This window comes from Homo sapiens, chromosome 17 (assembly GCF_000001405.40).
Source record: "Homo sapiens chromosome 17, GRCh38.p14 Primary Assembly".
Classification (NCBI taxonomy): Eukaryota; Metazoa; Chordata; class Mammalia; order Primates; family Hominidae; genus Homo; species Homo sapiens.
Window position 1 is genome coordinate 113,345 of NC_000017.11, and position 20,883 is coordinate 134,227.

A 20,883-nucleotide genomic window follows, 5' to 3' on the forward strand; every position below is an offset into this window, starting at 1 on the left:
AAAACCCTAACCTGAACCCTAACCCGAACCATAAACCTGAACCCTAAACCCGAACCCGAACCCGAACCCTAACCATAACCCAAACCCGAACCCTAACCCCTAACCCCTAACCCTAACCCTACCCTAACCCAACCCTAACCCAACCCTAACTCTAGCCCTAGCCCTAGCCCTAGCCCTAAGCCCTAAGCCCTAAGCCTAACCCCAACCCCAACCCCAACCCCAACCCTAACCCTAACCCTTCCTCAGCCTCTCAACCTGCTTGGGTTACAGGTATGAGCCCGGGTGCCTGGCCAAACATTCCATTTTATATGTATATGCTAGGAATGAATAATCTCTAAACCAAATTATGAAAATTCTACCTTAAACAATACCAATAGCAATATTATACTTAGGAATAAATGGAATGAAACGACAAGACTTAGATGAGGGAAATTATAAGACATTACTTAAGGAAATTAAACTTCCAATAAATGTAAAAATGTATCTTATTTGTGGATTTGTAGACCACATTGTTAAGTTTCCCAAAGTACACAAAGCAATCCGTGGATTCGATGTTATTCCTACAAAAATCCCAAAGGCCTTGGGACAGAAGTGGATAAGCTGATCCTGATCACATCCCAATTTCAAATTTTATTACAAAGGAACAGTAATAAAAACAGTGGGATCCTTGCACAGGAATAAACAGAAAGATCAACTGAATTGAATTGGGAGTCCAGACAGAAAACAATACCTCTATGCTCAACTGATTTTAGACAAGGTCCATTACCAGTAAATTGGGGAAAGAATCCTGTCCTCAACAAGTGATGTAAGGCAACTTGCTATCCACATAAAGGGAAATGAAATTGTATCCTTACCTCATACCACATAAAAAATTAACTTACAATGGATCGAAGACCAAAACAGGTGAAAACTAAAAACTCTGGAAGAAAACATACAGTTAAGCATTCATGACCTTACATGTAGCAATAGTTTCTTACATCTGACACCAAAAGCACAGACCACAAAAGGAAAAATAAATCAATTTATTTCCTCAAAATTTACAACTTTTACGTCTCAGAAGACATGAAGAAAAAAGTTGAAAGACAAAATGTTATAATAGGAAAAACAACTGTCTTATAGTATACTCTCAACACTCAACACAGAACACTTCTGTTACCAGATACATGGGTTTTTTCCCCACACAGACCAAATCTTGGGTACCAGCTGGGTGTCCTACAGTGCAATCCAATTGTGACAGTAAATGGAGAAAGCATCAGACCCCATAGGCTAAGGGCTCAGTCCTAGGAATACACATCATGCCCCTTGTTGCTTGCAAATTTAAATGACAAACACAAGGATGGTAAAAAGAAAGTGACTTTATGCCAGAGCTTAGCTGAAGGGAACGTACAGGCTCTTGCCTTAAGGGAAGCGCTTCCACTTTCTGGGCAGAAAGCGGGGCCTTCGGACTTGCCAGAATGGCATGCAGGGGATGAGGTGAGGAGGTGCGGGGTCTATGGGACATGCTCTGATGTTTTCTCCATTAGGTGGTCTTGCTAGCACCATCACGGGCAGAGCCAGGTTGTAAATTGACTGTTGTCTGCTGCCAATCTCCTGGTGGGGGAGAGATATGGAAGTGCCAGTTTGTTTCAAGGTTTGGTCCCTGGAACTTACAAGTAATCACACAGTTGGAAAAGTTTGCAGTATAGGAAGTGTCTGGTGGAGAGACAGTAAAGCTTATAATTGCATTCCTAAAGAGCTAAATGCAGGAACAGCAAAATGGTAAAACTAATTCATTTCTTCTTTAAGAAAATATGGGTACTCAGTTACAAGACTGTAACCACTTAAGATGCCAACCAGAAACAGTAGGTTCCCAGGTTACCTTCTGTCTGACTTTGCTACAGATTGGAGGCTCCCACAACACCCTTATTGGGTTCAGCAATTTGCTACATCACATTACACAACCCATGAAAGCAGTGTACTTACTATTCCTGACTCATTACCAAGGATCTTTTAAACACTACAAATGAAAAGCCAGATGAAGAGAGGCACAAGGTGAGGTACATGGAAGGAATGCAGGCCTCCCATGCCCTCGCCAGATATGATCCTCCCAGTATCTCCTGTGTTGGGAGAGCAACACAGATGCTCTCCCAACCCTGTCCTTTATTACACAGGCAGATTGGTTACGTCTGTGGCCATAGGTGATCAACTCAACCATCAGCACCTCTCCCCTTCACAGAGACGGGACGGGGGAAGAAATTTCAAATTCTCTCATGACAAGGTTGCTTCCCTTGGCAGCCAGCCCCACTGAGGGTGTCCAGGTGCCCCCAGCCATCAATCATTTCATTAGCATACGAAACACACATTACTTCGTACATTCCCAAGGCTTAGCGCTCTGTTTCAGGACACTGCAGCAGAGACCACACATTAACTCTTATTACGTTCCAACAACCTATAAAATGGAAGAAAATGTCTGCACATTAGATACTTCATCAGTGTCTGTTATCCAGAATGTATAAAGAACTTTTACAACTCCATAGCAAAGACAACCCAATCTAAAAATTGACAAAAGACTTTAATACACACTTCACCAACAAGCACATGAAAAGATGCTTAACATCATTACCATAATTAAAACCATAAAGAGATAACCCTTAACTCACACAAGAATAGTTATACTAAAAAATAACAAGTGTTGACAAAGATGTGCAGAAACTTGAACTCTTAAACACTGCTTGTGACAATATGAAATGGTGCAGCCTACGTGTAAAATAATTTGATGTTTCCTCATGAAGTTACAAATAGATTTACCATATGAGTCAATGATTCCATTCCTAGGTATATACCCCAAAGACCTGAAAACAACTGTTCAAACAAAAACCTGTATGCTCTTTAAATGTGTCAAGGTCATAAATATGCAGGAAAGTCTGGGGAACAGTTCCAGGAAAAGAAAACTGGATCCTAATGAAAAAAAAAAAAACACATTATACTCCCAAGTGTGGCATGAGGTAAAAGTGAAGTGAGTTTGTGGACCGAATTATCATGTAGGAACAATGCTGATTTCCTGATCTAGGGGTTATGTGGTAGTTACCTGGGAGAGTGTCCATGTTTTCAGTACAATATACCGGAGTATTTTGTGGGACACTGCAAATCTGGTACAGCAATAACTGTTGGGGAATCTAAGGGAAGAAACAAGTTGTACTTTGTACTACTACTGGAAGTTGCCTAGAAATATGACATTATTGGAAAATAAGTTACTTTTTAAAACAACCATGTCAATACCATGCCAGGAAAGCAGACACATCATCAAAATCCATTGCAGAGGCTATAGTTCAGCCAAAGCTGTAAAACCCTTAAAAAAGTCTCAATGTCAACAGAGTCCACGTAGTAGATATTATTATATTTATTAGTATTAGAGGCCATTGTGTCAATATATTAGTGTTAGGGCATGGTATGGGTGTCTAGATTAGTGTTAGGGAATGGTGTGGATATTGTATTGGTGTTAGGGAATGGTGCAGATATTACATTAGTCTTAGGGCATGGTGTGGATATTATTACATTAGTATTGGAAGCGATGGTGTGGACTAGATCAGTGATAGGGCATGGTGTGGATATTATTACATTAGTATTGGAAGCGATGGTGTGGACTAGATCAGTGATAGGGCATGGTGTGGATATTATTACATTAGTATTGAAAGCGATGGTGTGGATTAGATCAGTGTTAGGGCATGGTGTGGATATTATTACATTAGTATTGGAAGCGATGGTGTGGACTAGATCAGTGATAGGGCATGGTGTGGATATTATTACATTAGTATTGAAAGCGATGGTGTGGATTAGATCAGTGTTAGGGCATGGTGTGGATATTATTACATTAGTATTGGAAGCGATGGTGTGGACTAGATCAGTGATAGGGCATGGTGTGGATATTATTACATTAGTATTGGAAGCGATGGTGTGGACTAGATCAGTGATAGGGCATGGTGTGGATATTATTACATTAGTATTGGAAGCGATGGTGTGGATTACATCAGTGTTAGGGCATGGTGTGGATATTATTACATTAGTATTGGAAGCGATGGTGTGGATTAGATCAGTGATAGGGCATGGTGTGGATATTATTACATTAGTATTGGAAGCGATGGTGTGGATTAGATCAGTGATAGGGCATGGTGTGGATATTATTACATTAGTATTGGAAGCGATGGTGTGGATTAGATCAGTGATAGGGCATGGTGTGGATATTATTACATTAGTATTGGAAGCGATGGTGTGGACTAGATCAGTGATAGGGCATGGTGTGGATATTATTACATTAGTATTGGAAGCGATGGTGTGGATTAGATCAGTGATAGGGCATGGTGTGGATATTATTACATTAGTATTGGAAGCGATGGTGTGGACTACATCAGTGATAGGGCATGGTGTGGATATTATTACATTAGTATTGGAAGCGATGGTGTGGATTACATCAGTGATAGGGCATGGTGTGGATATTATTACATTAGTATTGGAAGCGATGGTGTGGACTAGATCAGTGATAGGGCATGGTGTGGATATTATTACATTAGTATTGGAAGCGATGGTGTGGATTAGATCAGTGATAGGGCATGGTGTGGATATTATTACATTAGTATTGGAAGCGATGGTGTGGACTAGATCAGTGATAGGGCATGGTGTGGATATTATTACATTAGTATTGGAAGCGATGGTGTGGACTAGATCAGTGATAGGGCATGGTGTGGATATTATTACATTAGTATTGGAAGCGATGTTGTGGATTACATCAGTGTTAGCGCATGGTGTGAATATTATATAGGTGTTAGGACACGATGTGGATATCATAGTAATGTAGGGCACAGTGTGATTATTATATTAGAGGCCACTGTAAGAATATATATTAACAGCCACTGTGTCTTGGACGTTGACAATGATATTAGGGTGTAGTCCAAACAGTGAGATTTGGGGGTTTTATTTTTCTAGATGAATTTCTTCCTCTGCTGAGTGCTCTAAAGACTCACTCCTTGGCACTCAGGGCCGTGGACAGGAGCTTTTTACTCACCAATGAAGAACACCAAGTTAACGCGACCCCCGTGCTGCCCTGAGGAAGTCGAAGCTCCTCGCTGCTTCTGGCACCTCAGCGGGAAGTTGGTTGCGGCGGGATCGCGCGCCCTCTGGTGGCGCCATGGTTCAGCACAGACGCTCTTGCTCACAGTTTCTCGGCGGATGTGCGCCCCCTCCTGGCTGTCCTGAAATACCTATAAAATTCAATATTCAGTTTATTCAGTGTCATAATTTTGGAAATTCAAACCGAAATAAAGGCCACTATATCCATATCCTTCCCATAAATGGTGATGGAAGAATTATTTGGAAGCCATATAGAATGAAATGACTCTATACACAAATTAAAACACAAAAACCTACTCAAAATAGTCCAGAGACTACAACTTCAAATGCAAAACTATAAATAATCTAAAAGAAAACCTAAGAGACATTCGATCTGGTGTTGAGTTTTAACACACAGCATCAAGTGCCAATTCGTGAAAATACTGAGAACAGACTTTATAAAACTAAATTTTCTACTATGAAAAACCCTATTCAGAGAACAAAAAGACAAGACACACTGTGAGAAGATATTTACAAAATACAAACATGATTTTAAAAACTGTATTGAAAATACACAAAGAACTCTTCAAACGAACACTAAGAAAACTAAAAACCCACATAAAACTGGGTAAATATCTGAACAGACATCCAGCCAAATAAAATATATAGATAGCAGGCCAGGTGTGGTGGCTCATGCCTATAACCCCAGCACTTTGGGAGGCTGAGGTGGGTGAGTCACCTGAGGTCAGGAATTTGAGATCAGCCTGGCCAACATAGTGATACCCCCTCTCTACTAAAAATACAAAAAAATTAGCCAGGCATGGTGGTGAGTGCCTGTAATCCCAGCTACTTGGGAGGCTGATGCAAGAGAATTGCTTGAACATCGGAGGTGGAGGTTGCAGTGACCCAGGATCACACCACTGCACTCCAGCCTGAGTGACAGAATGAGACTCTATCTCAATAAAAAAAAAAGAAAAAAGAAAAAAAAGAAAATATACAGATAGCACATAATCACACAAAAGGATGCTCAATATATCTCATTAGGAGACTGCAAATTAAAATAATGCTGAGATATCACTGCACACCTAGTACAACTGTGGGACTCTTAAAAAAGCTCAACAGTAACAATTGGAAGTTGAAGAACAATAGGTACGGCCATTCATTAATGGCAGAATGCATGAATGGGTACAGCCACTTTGGGAAATAGTTTGACAGTTTTTCCCAAAGATAAACAAGTCTTACCTTACAATCCAACAAATGCACCCCTAAATTGTGTATGTTTAGACAGCTGCTTTGAAAAATTATGTTCAAACAAAAACTAGCATGTAATTATATATGAGCCACTCTACTCATCATGGCCAAAACTTGAAGTAATCAGAACGTTCTTCAATAGCTGAATGCATAATCAATTTGAAGTACAACCATGCAATGGAATACCATTCACCAACAGAAAGGAATGAACTGTCAATCCATGAAAACAAATGAATGAATCTTGCATCTATGTTGCTAAGTAAAGGGTGGCAGTATGAAGATGCTATACATTATATGACTCCATTCATATAACATTCTGGAAAAAGCACAACCAAAGAGATGATAGTCAGATCAGTGACTGTCTGGGGTGGGGATTTGAAGTATTCTGTATGCTACTTCAGTAGTGGATATCTGACACTATTCATTTGATAAAACCCACAGAATTTTAATGCACAAAGAACAAATCACAATCTACACAAATTAAATTATTTAGGATGTGGAAGTATCTAAGGACAAAATACAGAGTGAAACCAAGAATCTAACTGTATTACCAATGTATGTTGCAAGTGGTGGGCCAAAGGTGCTGAGCTGGAAATGAGTAGAATCCATAGACTAAAAACAAAACGTACTATATACACGAACAGTGGACTCTATAAAGTTATTTCCCATAGGGATAATAGTTAATTTTGAAACTACTATATCTGTAAAAAGAAAAATAACCATGATTTTCCTCTATACTATCAACACTCCACTTTTAACAGCAAATTGTGGGGGGTGGGGGGTGTTTCCCATACCAACCAATATTCCAACTCTCTGGAAAACAATTGGGTATCCTGTAATTCAACTGTGACACTGATTACCTGGAGTTAGTCTACACCCTACAGGTTAAGGGCTTAGTAACACCAGACTGTCCACAACCTCAGATGCCAATCACAAGTTGTGAATCCCCAGTTTACCCAAACTTCTATATGACTTGGCTAGAAACTAGGCATTCCTACACCCCCTCTTCAGGTTTGACAATTTGCTATGATGGCTTATGGAACTAGGAAATACTTACTTATGTTTACTAGTTATTATGGTCTCAATGTGTGTACACCCCCACCCCAAATTCCTATTTTGAAATGTAATCCCCAAAGGGATGGTATTCAGAGGTAACCGAGAGGTGATCGGATCATGAGAGTGCTGTCCTCATGAATGAAACCAGTGCCCTTATAAAAGCATCTAGGAGCCCGTTTCCCCATTCTGCCATGTCATGACATGCTAGAAGGCACTATCTATGATAGATGAGCCCTCACTAGACATCAAATCTGTCAGCCTTGATCTGGAACTTACCAAATTCCATATTTTAGGAATTTTTATGGAAGCTTCATCATGTAGACATGACGGATTATTAACTCAATTTCCAGTCCCTTCACACCCTCAAAGGATTGCATGTTAAGCTAAAAGTTACAACCTTCTTATCATGGCTTGGTCTTTCTGGTGACCATCCCCATCCTGAAACCATCCAGGAACCCACAGAGTGTCCTTATTAGAACAGAAGCCATTCCTATTATCCAGGAGATTCCAAGAGATTTAGGAACTCTGCGTCAGGAACCAGGGCCAAAGACCAAATATTAGAACACAAGAGCTCCTAGCAGCCCTACTGTTCAGGAAATTATAATAGTTTTACAAGCTCTGTACCAGGAACTGCAGACACAGACCAAACATATATTTCTTATTAAGTCCCAACCTGGAATCTCGATCAAGAATGAATTCCTTCTTCCCAGTGGTACAAGGGATGAAATGAAAGGCAGATAGTAGGAGCCAGGTTCCTCACTATTACAGCGAGAAGTTACAGATAAAAAATAGGGAAGCCTAGAATGATCTCGGTCATAATGAGTCAGAATATATATATACAACGTAAGTATAAACTCACATTCAGGTTCCTCATTATTACAGTGAGAAGTTACAGATAAAAAATAGGGAAGCCTAGAATGATCTCTGTCATAATGAGTCAGAATATATATAGACAACGTAAGTATAAACTCACATTCAGGTTCCTCACTATTACAGTGAGAAGTTACAGATAAAAAATAGGGAAGCCTAGAATGATCTCTGTCATAATGAGTCAGAATATATATATACAACGTAAGTATAAACTCACATTCAGGTTCCTCACTATTACAGCGAGAAGTTACAGATAAAAAATAGGGAAGCCTAGAATGATCTCTGTCATAATGAGTCAGAATATATATATACAACGTAAGTATAAACTCACATTCAGGTTCCTCACTATTACAGTGAGAAGTTACAGATAAAATATAGGGAAGCCTAGAATGATCTCTGTCATAATGAGTCAGAATATATATATACAACGTAAGTATAAACTCACATTCAGGTTCCTCACTATTACAGCGAGAAGTTACAGATAAAAAATAGGGAAGCCTAGAATGATCTCTGTCATAATGAGTCAGAATATATATATACAACGTAAGTATAAACTCACATTCAGGTTCCTCACTATTACAGCGAGAAGTTACAGATAAAAAATAGGGAAGCCTAGAATGATCTCTGTCATAATGAGTCAGAATATATATATACAACGTAAGTATAAACTCACATTCAGGTTCCTCACTATTACAGCGAGAAGTTACAGATAAAAAATAGGGAAGCCTAGAATGATCTCTGTCATAATGAGTCAGAATATATATATACAACGTAAGTATAAACTCACATTCAGGTTCCTCACTATTACAGCGAGAAGTTACAGATAAAAAAATTCAGGTTCCTCATTATTACAGTGAGAAGTTACAGATAAAAAATAGGGAAGCCTAGAATGATCTCTGTCATAATGAGTCAGAATATATATAGACAACGTAAGTATAAACTCACATTCAGGTTCCTCACTATTACAGTGAGAAGTTACAGATAAAAAATAGGGAAGCCTAGAATGATCTCTGTCATAATGAGTCAGAATATATATATACAACGTAAGTATAAACTCACATTCAGGTTCCTCACTATTACAGCGAGAAGTTACAGATAAAAAATAGGGAAGCCTAGAATGATCTCTGTCATAATGAGTCAGAATATATATATACAACGTAAGTATAAACTCACATTCAGGTTCCTCACTATTACAGTGAGAAGTTACAGATAAAATATAGGGAAGCCTAGAATGATCTCTGTCATAATGAGTCAGAATATATATATACAACGTAAGTATAAACTCACATTCAGGTTCCTCACTATTACAGCGAGAAGTTACAGATAAAAAATAGGGAAGCCTAGAATGATCTCTGTCATAATGAGTCAGAATATATATATACAACGTAAGTATAAACTCACATTCAGGTTCCTCACTATTACAGTGAGAAGTTACAGATAAAAAATAGGGAAGCCTAGAATGATCTCGGTCATAATGAGTCAGAATATATATATACAACGTAAGTATAAACTCACATTCAGGTTCCTCACTATTACAGTGAGAAGTTACAGATAAAAAATAGGGAAGCCTAGAATGATCTCTGTCATAATGAGTCAGAATATATATATACAACGTAAGTATAAACTCACATTCAGGTTCCTCACTATTACAGTGAGAAGTTACAGATAAAAAATAGGGAAGCCTAGAATGATCTCGGTCATAATGAGTCAGAATGTATATATACAACGTAAGTATAAACTCACATTCAGGTTCCTCATTATTACAGCGAGAAGTTACAGATAAAAAATAGGGAAGCCTAGAATGATCTCTGTCATAATGAGTCAGAATATATATATACAACGTAAGTATAAACTCACATTCAGGTTCCTCACTATTACAGCGAGAAGTTACAGCTAAAAAATAGGGAAGCCTAGAATGGTCTCTGTCATAATGAGTCAGAATATATATATACAACGTAAGTATAAACTCCCATTCAGGTTCCTCACTATTACAGCGAGAAGTTACAGATAAAAAATAGGGAAGCCTAGAATGATCTCGGTCATAATGAGTCAGAATGTATATATACAACGTAAGTATAAACTCATATTCAGGTTCCTCATTATTACAGCGAGAAGTTAGAGATAAAAAATAGGGAAGCCTAGAATGATCTCTGTCATAATGAGTCAGAATATATATATACAACGTAAGTATAAACTCACATTCAGGTTCCTCACTATTACAGCGAGAAGTTACAGATAAAAAATAGGGAAGCCTAGAATGGTCTCTGTCATAATGAGTCAGAATATATATATACAACGTAAGTATAAACTCACATTCAGGTTCCTCACTATTACAGCGAGAAGTTACAGATAAAAAATAGGGAAGCCTAGAATGATCTCGGTCATAATGAGTCAGAATATATATATACAACGTAAGTATAAACTCACATTCAGGTTCCTCACTATTACAGCGAGAAGTTACAGATAAAAAATAGGGAAGCCTAGAATGATCTCGGTCATAATGAGTCAGAATATATATATACAACGTAAGTATAAACTCACATTCAGGTTCCTCACTATTACAGTGAGAAGTTACAGATAAAAAATAGGGAAGCCTAGAATGATCTCGGTCATAATGAGTCAGAATGTATATATACAACGTAAGTATAAACTCACATTCAGGTTCCTCATTATTACAGCGAGAAGTTACAGATAAAAAATAGGGAAGCCTAGAATGATCTCTGTCATAATGAGTCAGAATATATATATACAACGTAAGTATAAACTCACATTCAGGTTCCTCACTATTACAGCGAGAAGTTACAGCTAAAAAATAGGGAAGCCTAGAATGGTCTCTGTCATAATGAGTCAGAATATATATATACAACGTAAGTATAAACTCCCATTCAGGTTCCTCACTATTACAGCGAGAAGTTACAGATAAAAAATAGGGAAGCCTAGAATGATCTCGGTCATAATGAGTCAGAATGTATATATACAACGTAAGTATAAACTCATATTCAGGTTCCTCATTATTAGAGCGAGAAGTTAGAGATAAAAAATAGGGAAGCCTAGAATGATCTCTGTCATAATGAGTCAGAATATATATATACAACGTAAGTATAAACTCACATTCAGGTTCCTCACTATTACAGCGAGAAGTTACAGATAAAAAATAGGGAAGCCTAGAATGGTCTCTGTCATAATGAGTCAGAATATATATATACAACGTAAGTATAAACTCACATTCAGGTTCCTCACTATTACAGCGAGAAGTTACAGATAAAAAATAGGGAAGCCTAGAATGATCTCGGTCATAATGAGTCAGAATATATATATACAACGTAAGTATAAACTCACATTCAGGTTCCTCACTATTACAGCGAGAAGTTACAGATAAAAAATAGGGAAGCCTAGAATGATCTCGGTCATAATGAGTCAGAATATATATATACAACGTGAGTATAAACTCACATTCAGGTTCCTCACTATTACAGCGAGAAGTTACAGATAAAAAATAGGGAAGCCTAGAATGATCTCGGTCATAATGAGTCAGAATATATATATACAACGTAAGTATAAACTCACATTCAGGTTCCTCACTATTACAGCGAGAAGTTACAGATAAAAAATAGGGAAGCCTAGAATGATCTCTGTCATAATGAGTCAGAATATATATATACAACGTAAGTATAAACTCACATTCAGGTTCCTCACTATTACAGCGAGAAGTTACAGATAAAAAATAGGGAAGCCTAGAATGATCTCGGTCATAATGAGTCAGAATATATATATACAACGTAAGTATAAACTCACATTCAGGTTCCTCACTATTACAGCGAGAAGTTACAGATAAAAAATAGGGAAGCCTAGAATGATCTCTGTCATAATGAGTCAGAATATATATATACAACGTAAGTATAAACTCACATTCAGGTTCCTCACTATTACAGCGAGAAGTTACAGATAAAAAATAGGGAAGCCTAGAATGATCTCGGTCATAATGAGTCAGAATATATATATACAACGTAAGTATAAACTCACATTCAGGTTCCTCACTATTACAGTGAGAAGTTACAGATAAAAAATAGGGAAGCCTAGAATGATCTCGGTCATAATGAGTCAGAATGTATATATACAACGTAAGTATAAACTCACATTCAGGTTCCTCATTATTACAGCGAGAAGTTACAGATAAAAAATAGGGAAGCCTAGAATGATCTCTGTCATAATGAGTCAGAATATATATATACAACGTAAGTATAAACTCACATTCAGGTTCCTCACTATTACAGCGAGAAGTTACAGATAAAAAATAGGGAAGCCTAGAATGGTCTCTGTCATAATGAGTCAGAATATATATATACAACGTAAGTATAAACTCACATTCAGGTTCCTCACTATTACAGCGAGAAGTTACAGATAAAAAATAGGGAAGCCTAGAATGATCTCTGTCATAATGAGTCAGAATATATATACACAACGTAAGTATAAACTCACATTCAGGTTCCTCACTATTACAGCGAGAAGTTACAGATAAAAAATAGGGTAGCCTAGAATGATCTCTGTCATAATGAGTCAGAATATATATATACAACGTAAGTATAAACTCACATTCAGGTTCCTCACTATTACAGCGAGAAGTTACAGATAAAAAATAGGGAAGCCTAGAATGATCTCTGTCATAATGAGTCAGAATATATATAAACAACGTAAGTATAAACTCACATTCAGGTTCCTCACTATTACAGCGAGAAGTTACAGATAAAAAATAGGGAAGCCTAGAATGATCTCTGTCATAATGAGTCAGAATATATATATGCAACGTAAGTATAAACTCACATTCAGGTTCCTCACTATTACAGCGAGAAGTTACAGATAAAAAATAGGGAAGCCTAGAATGATCTCTGTCATAATGAGTCAGAATATATATATACAACGTAAGTATAAACTCACATTCAGGTTCCTCACTATTACAGCGAGAAGTTACAGATAAAAAATAGGGAAGCCTAGAATGATCTCTGTCATAATGAGTCAGAATATATATATACAACGTAAGTATAAACTCACATTCAGGTTCCTCACTATTACAGCGAGAAGTTACACATAAAAAATAGGGAAGCCTAGAATGATCTCGGTCATAATGAGTCAGAATATATATATACAACGTAAGTATAAACTCACATTCAGGTTCCTCACTATTACAGCGAGAAGTTACAGATAAAAAATAGGGAAGCCTAGAATGATCTCTGTCATAATGAGTCAGAATATATATATACAACGTAAGTATAAACTCACATTCAGGTTCCTCACTATTACAGCGAGAAGTTACAGATAAAAAATAGGGAAGCCTAGAATGATCTCTGTCATAATGAGTCAGAATATATATATACAACGTGAGTATAAACTCACATTCAGGCTCCTCACTATTACAGCGAGAAGTTACAGATAAAAAATAGGGAAGCCTAGAATGATCTCGGTCATAATGAGTCAGAATATATATATACAACGTAAGTATAAACTCACATTCAGGTTCCTCACTATTACAGCGAGAAGTTACAGATAAAAAATAGGGAAGCCTAGAATGATCTCTGTCATAATGAGTCAGAATATATATATACAACATAAGTATAAACTCACATTCAGGTTCCTCACTATTACAGCGAGAAGTTACAGATAAAAAATAGGGAAGCCTAGAATGATCTCTGTCATAATGAGTCAGAATATATATATACAACGTAAGTATAAACTCACATTCAGGTTCCTCACTATTACAGCGAGAAGTTACAGATAAAAAATAGGGAAGCCTAGAATGATCTCTGTCATAATGAGTCAGAATATATATATACAACGTAAGTATAAACTCACATTCAGGTTCCTCACTATTACAGCGAGAAGTTACAGATAAAAAATAGGGAAGCCTAGAATGATCTCTGTCATAATGAGTCAGAATATATATATGCAACGTAAGTATAAACTCACATTCAGGTTCCTCACTATTACAGCGAGAAGTTACAGATAAAAAATAGGGAAGCCTAGAATGATCTCTGTCATAATGAGTCAGAATATATATATACAACGTAAGTATAAACTCACATTCAGGTTCCTCACTATTACAGCGAGAAGTTACAGATAAAAAATAGGGAAGCCTAGAATGATCTCTGTCATAATGAGTCAGAATATATATATACAACGTAAGTATAAACTCACATTCAGGTTCCTCACTATTACAGCGAGAAGTTACAGATAAAAAATAGGGAAGCCTAGAATGATCTCTGTCATAATGAGTCAGAATATATATATACAACGTAAGTATAAACTCACATTCAGGTTCCTCACTATTACAGCGAGAAGTTACAGATAAAAAATAGGGAAGCCTAGAATGATCTCGGTCATAATGAGTCAGAATATATATATACAACGTAAGTATAAACTCACATTCAGGTTCCTCACTATTACAGCAAGAAGTTACAGATAAAAAATAGGGAAGCCTAGAATGATCTCTGTCATAATGAGTCAGAATATATATATACAACGTAAGTATAAACTCACATTTAGCTTAACATATACATAGATGGTTCCACATAGAAACCTTTATAATTACGTGGGTACATATAAGTTAGAAGACACACATATATTTCTTTGCACTGTCAGCTGTAAGTGTCATGATGCAATGACCACATTTAGTGGCCAGATGTAAGTTTTTCATACCATTCTCTAACAAAAGAAATCAGGGCTATTAGAAGAAATAGCTGAAACTAGGACTGGGACAGAAAATATATGAGCCAGGGTACTTTTGAAGTAACAGAAATAAATTATAAAAAAAAAACATGAAATTATGTAAAAGGAGCCAGTGGAAAGAGCTACCAATGGCCACAGGTATGAACAAAGAGCAACAAAATACTGTACAATTAGATAACAACCAAAAGATTAAAGTAACTATCTGTGGACCCATACTGGTATAAATAAATGATTAAACAGATATGCAAATGGACTGAATAGAAATCTCTTACACAGAAGAATTCCAAATACCTGATATAGACAGCCATCAAGGAGGTGGGGCTAACTCCCCACTCCTTTAAGTATGAGCTCTGCATGATGACTTCCTCCAAAAGCATACATACAATATAGACATGGGAAAAAAGTAACTTCACAGTGAAAAACCTGAAAACACTGCCTCACCCAAGTGATAAAAGTTAACATTAATGGTGATAACACATCTTGAGAGCATGAAGTGACTAGACTAGCACTTGCAAACCAAAAATAAAATTCAAAGATCTTTCCCACAACCACCTCTCCACCAGGGGACACCAAAGTTAACCTGGAAGACTGGTTCAGGCTATGATGGGAAAGAGGTGGTCAGACATGCCTCATTATGCCCTCCTCCCTTTTGGAATTCAGGAAAAGCCAATCAGCATTTAACATCAACACAACCTTAAATCTGATAAGAAACATTTACAATCTATTCTCTCTGAAGCCTGCTACCTGGAAGCTTCATCTCCATGATAAAACCTTGGCCTCCTTAACCCCTTATCATAACCCAGACACTCCTTTCTATTGATAGTAAGTCTTTCAACAAACTGCCAATCAGAAAAATTTTAAGTGTACCTATAACCTGGAAGCCCCACCCCACCCTAATCCACTGGGTTGTCCCACCTTTCTGGACCGAACCAATATATATCTTAAATACACTTGATTGATGTCTCCTACCTCCCTAAAATGTATAGAACCAACCTGCACCCCAACGACCTTGGGCACATGTTCTCAGGGTCTCCTGAGGGCTGTGTCAAGGGCCATGGTCACTCATATTTGGCTCAGAATACATCTCTTCAAATATTTTACAGTCTTTGACTCTTTTTGTGGACACACTACACATCTGCTCTGCTTCCCCCAAACCCCTAAACCCAGGCTGATTATGAGAAAAACCCCAAGTAAACCACAATGGAGGACATTCTACACAATACCTGACCAATCCTCCTAACACTGTTCCAGGTCCTCAGAAGTAAAGTCTGAGAGACTGTCACAGCCAAGAAGAGCCTGACATGATGACTAAATGTCCTATGGGATCCTAGATAGGATCCTGGGAGAGAAAAAGGCAGAACTAAGGGAAACCAAATAAGATGTGAGCTTATTTAATAATATAGTAATATCCAGTCATTAAGTATGACAAGAAATGATGTAAGATGTTGGTCAGGAGTGGTGGCTCATGCCTGTAATCCCAGCACTTTGGGAGGCTGAGGCGGGCAGATCACCTGAGATCAGGAGTTCGAGACCAGCCTGGCCAACGTGGTGAAACCTCATCTCTACTAAAAATACAAAAATTAGCCGGGCACGATGGCAGGCGCCTGTAATACCAGCTACTCAGGAGGCTGAGGCAGGAGAATCGCTTGAACCTGGGAGGCGGAGGTTGCAGTGAGCCGAGATCATGCCACTGCACTCCAGCCTGGTTGAAAAAAAAAAAAAACTGGTCTGGAAAAAAGAAAAAAAAAAAAAGATGTTAAACCTATCTGATACATGTTGATATGTTAAAAAGAGGGGAAACTAGGTTGCGTCTACATGGGAAATCTGCATTTTCTTCCCAATTTCTGTATGAATCTAAAACTAATTTAAAATAAAACCTCTATTTAAAAATTGTAATTTTTTCAGATATCTGCTAAATTATTTGTACTAAAAATTAGTAATTGACAGTAACTACTCCTACTTTTAAAAATAAGAGCATTCATGATACTGCAAAGTAAATTATACAGACTAATATATACTTTCAAAGAAATGCCCCTTTTACATGTTTTATGTTAAGATAACATATATGTGTAAACATGGTCATATCATTTTTCTTATGGTGTAGTTCACTCTCTAAGAAAGCTGGTCATCTTAGAACCAGGGAAAAAAATTCACATTTTGGAGACTATTTCAATTTATGGCTGGACATTTTCAAAGTATGACTTTGTGAAAAAAAAAAAAGTTCAAATTGATTCATTGTGACTGGATCACTTATTCTAATGAATGCTTGTCTTTATTTTGTTTCCCAGCATTCCTTTCAGCTACGATACAACAGAAGCAAATATTTGCCACTGGAAAAAATATTCAAAGACACTCTTAGGTTAATCTATAGCTGATGACAGTCAGTCTAGTCTACATAGCAAGCAGCTTCAAGATATGATTACTTAGCTAAGCGGGAAATGGGACGTGACTGCTGCCTCATTCCCACGCCTCTCTGGACCTGATAATTTAGAGGAAGCTCACATTCGCAAGATAAAAATTTTCTTTTCTTTCTCAGTATTAAATATGCTGTCACAGTAGAAGAAAGCTTTACTGACTTCTTAAATGATGTGTTGAGACCGGAAACCTAAAATGATAGTTACTGAGAATAGTGCTAATGCCCTAAGACTGGAACCCTAAAATGATAGTCACTGAGAATACTGCTAATGCCCTAAGACCGGAACCCTAAAATGATAGTTACTGAGAATAGTGCTAATGCCCTAAGACCGGAACCCTAAAATGATAGTTACTGAGAATACTGCTAATGCCCTAAGACCGGAACCCTAAAATGATAGTTACTGAGAATAGTGCTAATGCCCTAAGACCGGAACCCTAAAATGATAGTTACTGAGAATAGTGCTAATGCCCTAAGACCGGAACCCTAAAATGATAGTCACTGAGAATACCGCTAATGCCCTAAGACCGGAACCCTAAAATGATAGTCACTGAGAATACTGCTAATGCCCTAAGACCGGAACCCTAAAATGATAGTCACTGAGAATAGTGCTAATGCCCTAAGACCGGAACCCTAAAATGATAGTCACTGAGAATACTGCTAATGCCCTAAGACCGGAACCCTAAAATGATAGTTACTGAGAATACTGCTAATGCCCTAAGACCGGAACCCTAAAATGATAGTTACTGAGAATACCGCTAATGCCCTAAGGTTTTAGTCACACCCTCACCTAGGCAGGAACCCAATCAAAAGGGGAGAACTGTGGAACAAACTACGGGAGGTCATTGTTTCGGTCACCACTCCCGCACTAGGCCACACTGAGCAGGCAAAACCAGAATGGAGACACTCACGCTGAATGACACACAACGAAGCTGAAACTCTAAGGAAGTAGATAGATCCCAAAAGAGCTCCCTTTTTCCCTGAAGAGATTCCAGTCTACCTGAGTCAGCATAAAGAAGTCCCCTCTGCTTTAATTCTTACCAAAACAAGTAACTTGAAGTAATCTGATATTAACAAATCAGTTGTTATTTTCTATTGCTCTATTTCCGCCTTACACAACACAGTGTTCTGCTATTGCCCAGAGGGCACTGAGACCAAATAAAACTTGAAAATGCCACACTGAAAGCAAATAAGTCCTAATAACTCAACTTACAACGATAACAAAGAGTGACACCAATGCCCAAAGTTTTGATCAATATCTCAAAATTGAGAGGCTGACCAAAAGGGAGGAATTCTTACATCAAACAACATTTGGGCTCTGGAAGCCTCCCGAGGAGTCCTTGTAAAGAGTCGCGGCCGGGCGCCGTGGCTCACGCCTGTAATCCCGGCACTTTGGGAGGCCGAGACGGGTGGCTCATGAGGTCAGGAAATCGAGTCCATCATGGCTTACAAGGTGAAACCCAGTCTCTACTAAAAAAAAAAAATACAAAAAAATTAGCAGGGCTTGGTGGCGGCAGCCTGCAGTCCCAGCTACTTGGGAGGCCGGGACAGGAGAATGGCATGAACCCGGGAGGCGGAGCTTGCTGTGAGCTGAGATCGCGCCACTGCACTCCAGCCTGGGCGACAGAGCGAGACTCCGCCTCAAAAAAGAAAAAAGAAGAAGAACAAGAAGAATCGCAACCTAATTTAGTATAGAAACAAACTGAAAATCTGACTTGGGAATGTATCATGGTAACAAATAGCGGCGGTTCAGCCAATCACATCAGCCGAGTGTCAGTCAATGGCCGGCAGCCAGCTGTTCAAAACAAGTTCCAAGAAGGCAAATCCGGGCTGTAACCAGGTCTGTAACCAATCCAGCCACCTCTATACCTCACTTCTGTTTTCTGTATGTCACCTTTTTCCTCTGGCTATAAATATAACCCGCACATGTTGTGTGGCAGATCATTCTGAACCATTTTTGGTCTGGACTGCTGCCTGATTCTAGAACCACAAAAAAAAGCCAATTAAGATCTGCAAACCCACATTTGTTGTAATTCTGTATTTTAACAGTTGTGCCCTACAAAAGACATTAAGCTGAAATTAATTAAAAATCATTTACGGTCATGATTAGGTCATAAAAAATTGTCAAACATAACAATTCTTCAAAAAAAGCTAAAAAGTATATTTTAAAAATATTGTTGATGGAAAAAAGAGTGCAAAAGTAGATAGGAAAATTATGTACAAAACTAAAAACAGAGGAGAAATTAAAAGTCAAATAATTACATCAAACTGGAAACCTAGAAAAAATGGGTGATTTCCTAGTAAAAATACACATTAACAAAATGGGCCCTGAAATAAGGCAACTATGAATATACCAATTAGCATAGAAAAGCTAAGAAAGGTCCTTAAAGATCTCCCAGTGGAAAAAGGCCCCAGGACCATCTGGGTCCATAGCTTAGTGTAAGCTGACTTAACTAAATGTGATTTTACACTCGTGCATTGCATACATATGATGGTGGTCCCATGAGATAAAAATGGAGCTGAAAAATTCCTTCCTAGCCATCTTGTCATAAGCTCATGGCTCAACGCATTACCTTTTCTCTGTTCTGATACCATGAAAGGAAAATAAATCTCAGGACCCCCAAATCACTAAGCCAAGGGAAAAGTCAAGCTGGGAGCTATGTCAGGCAAACCTGCCCTCATTCTATTCCTAACTAAGATAGCTACAAAGATAAAAAGCTACATACCTCACTCACAATTTGCCCACAAAGAATTTCCTTTTGGACAAAGGACAGACAGCACTCAAAGTCATCCCTCACCTGAGACAGATGCATATCTGATTGCTTCCTCTGCCCTATTATTTATGTAAAAATGCAGATTCATTGAGCCAGACTAAATTGTGTATTCAGTGGAAGGCTGATGAAGGATTCAAAAGAATGCAACCTTTTGTCTCTAACCTACTTCTGACCTGGAAGCACCCCCACTTCCTGCTTCCAGTTGTCCCGCCTTACTGGGCCAAATGACTGTACATCTTACACGTCTCATGTATCCCTAAAATGTACAAAAGCAAGCTCTACCCTGGCCACCTTGGACACACGTCGTCAGGACCTCCTGAGGCTGTGTCATGGTCGTGTCCTTAATCTGGGCAAAATAAGCTTTCTAAATTGACAGAGACGCGGCGCGCCGGCGCAGGCGCACAGAGGCGCGGCGCGCGGGCGCCGGCGCACAGTGGCGCGTCCCCTGGGGGGCGGGGGGAGGCGCGGCGCAGGCGCAGAGACGCACGTCGTTAGGCTGTGGGTTTGGGGGGAGGTGGGTGGTGCAGACGCAGAGTCACGCGCCACCGGGATGAGAGCGCGGGGGTGGAGCGTTGTAGGCGCACAGACTCACGTCCCCGGGGGCGCGGCGCAGAGACGGGTTGAACCTCAGTAATCCAAAAAGCCGGGCTCGGGCGCCCCCTGCTTGCAGCCGGGCACTACAGGACCCGCTTGCCCGCGGTGCTGTCCCAGTGCGCC

At 38.7% G+C, this 20,883-nt stretch overlaps 1 long non-coding RNA gene across 6 annotated transcripts in view; it reads right to left on the reverse strand.

The window, feature by feature from the left end:
- Positions 1–20,497, reverse strand: part of LOC101929823 (uncharacterized) — a 36,131-nt gene extending 15,634 nt beyond the window's left edge. Inside the window, exons 1-3 of one of the 6 annotated variants that reach the window (XR_001752721.3) lie at positions 20,449–20,468; positions 5,039–5,234; positions 2,346–2,428 (exon numbers count right to left, since the gene is read on the reverse strand). This is a non-coding gene — a long non-coding RNA (uncharacterized LOC101929823). Of the gene's footprint in view, positions 1–2,345; positions 2,429–3,067; positions 3,085–5,038; positions 5,235–16,592; positions 16,668–20,448 lie in introns of those variants that run through there. The other 5 variants (XR_001752720.3, XR_001752717.3, XR_001752719.3 and 2 more) reach the window with 5 other exon arrangements.
- Between the last annotated feature and the right edge of the window lie 386 nt (positions 20,498–20,883).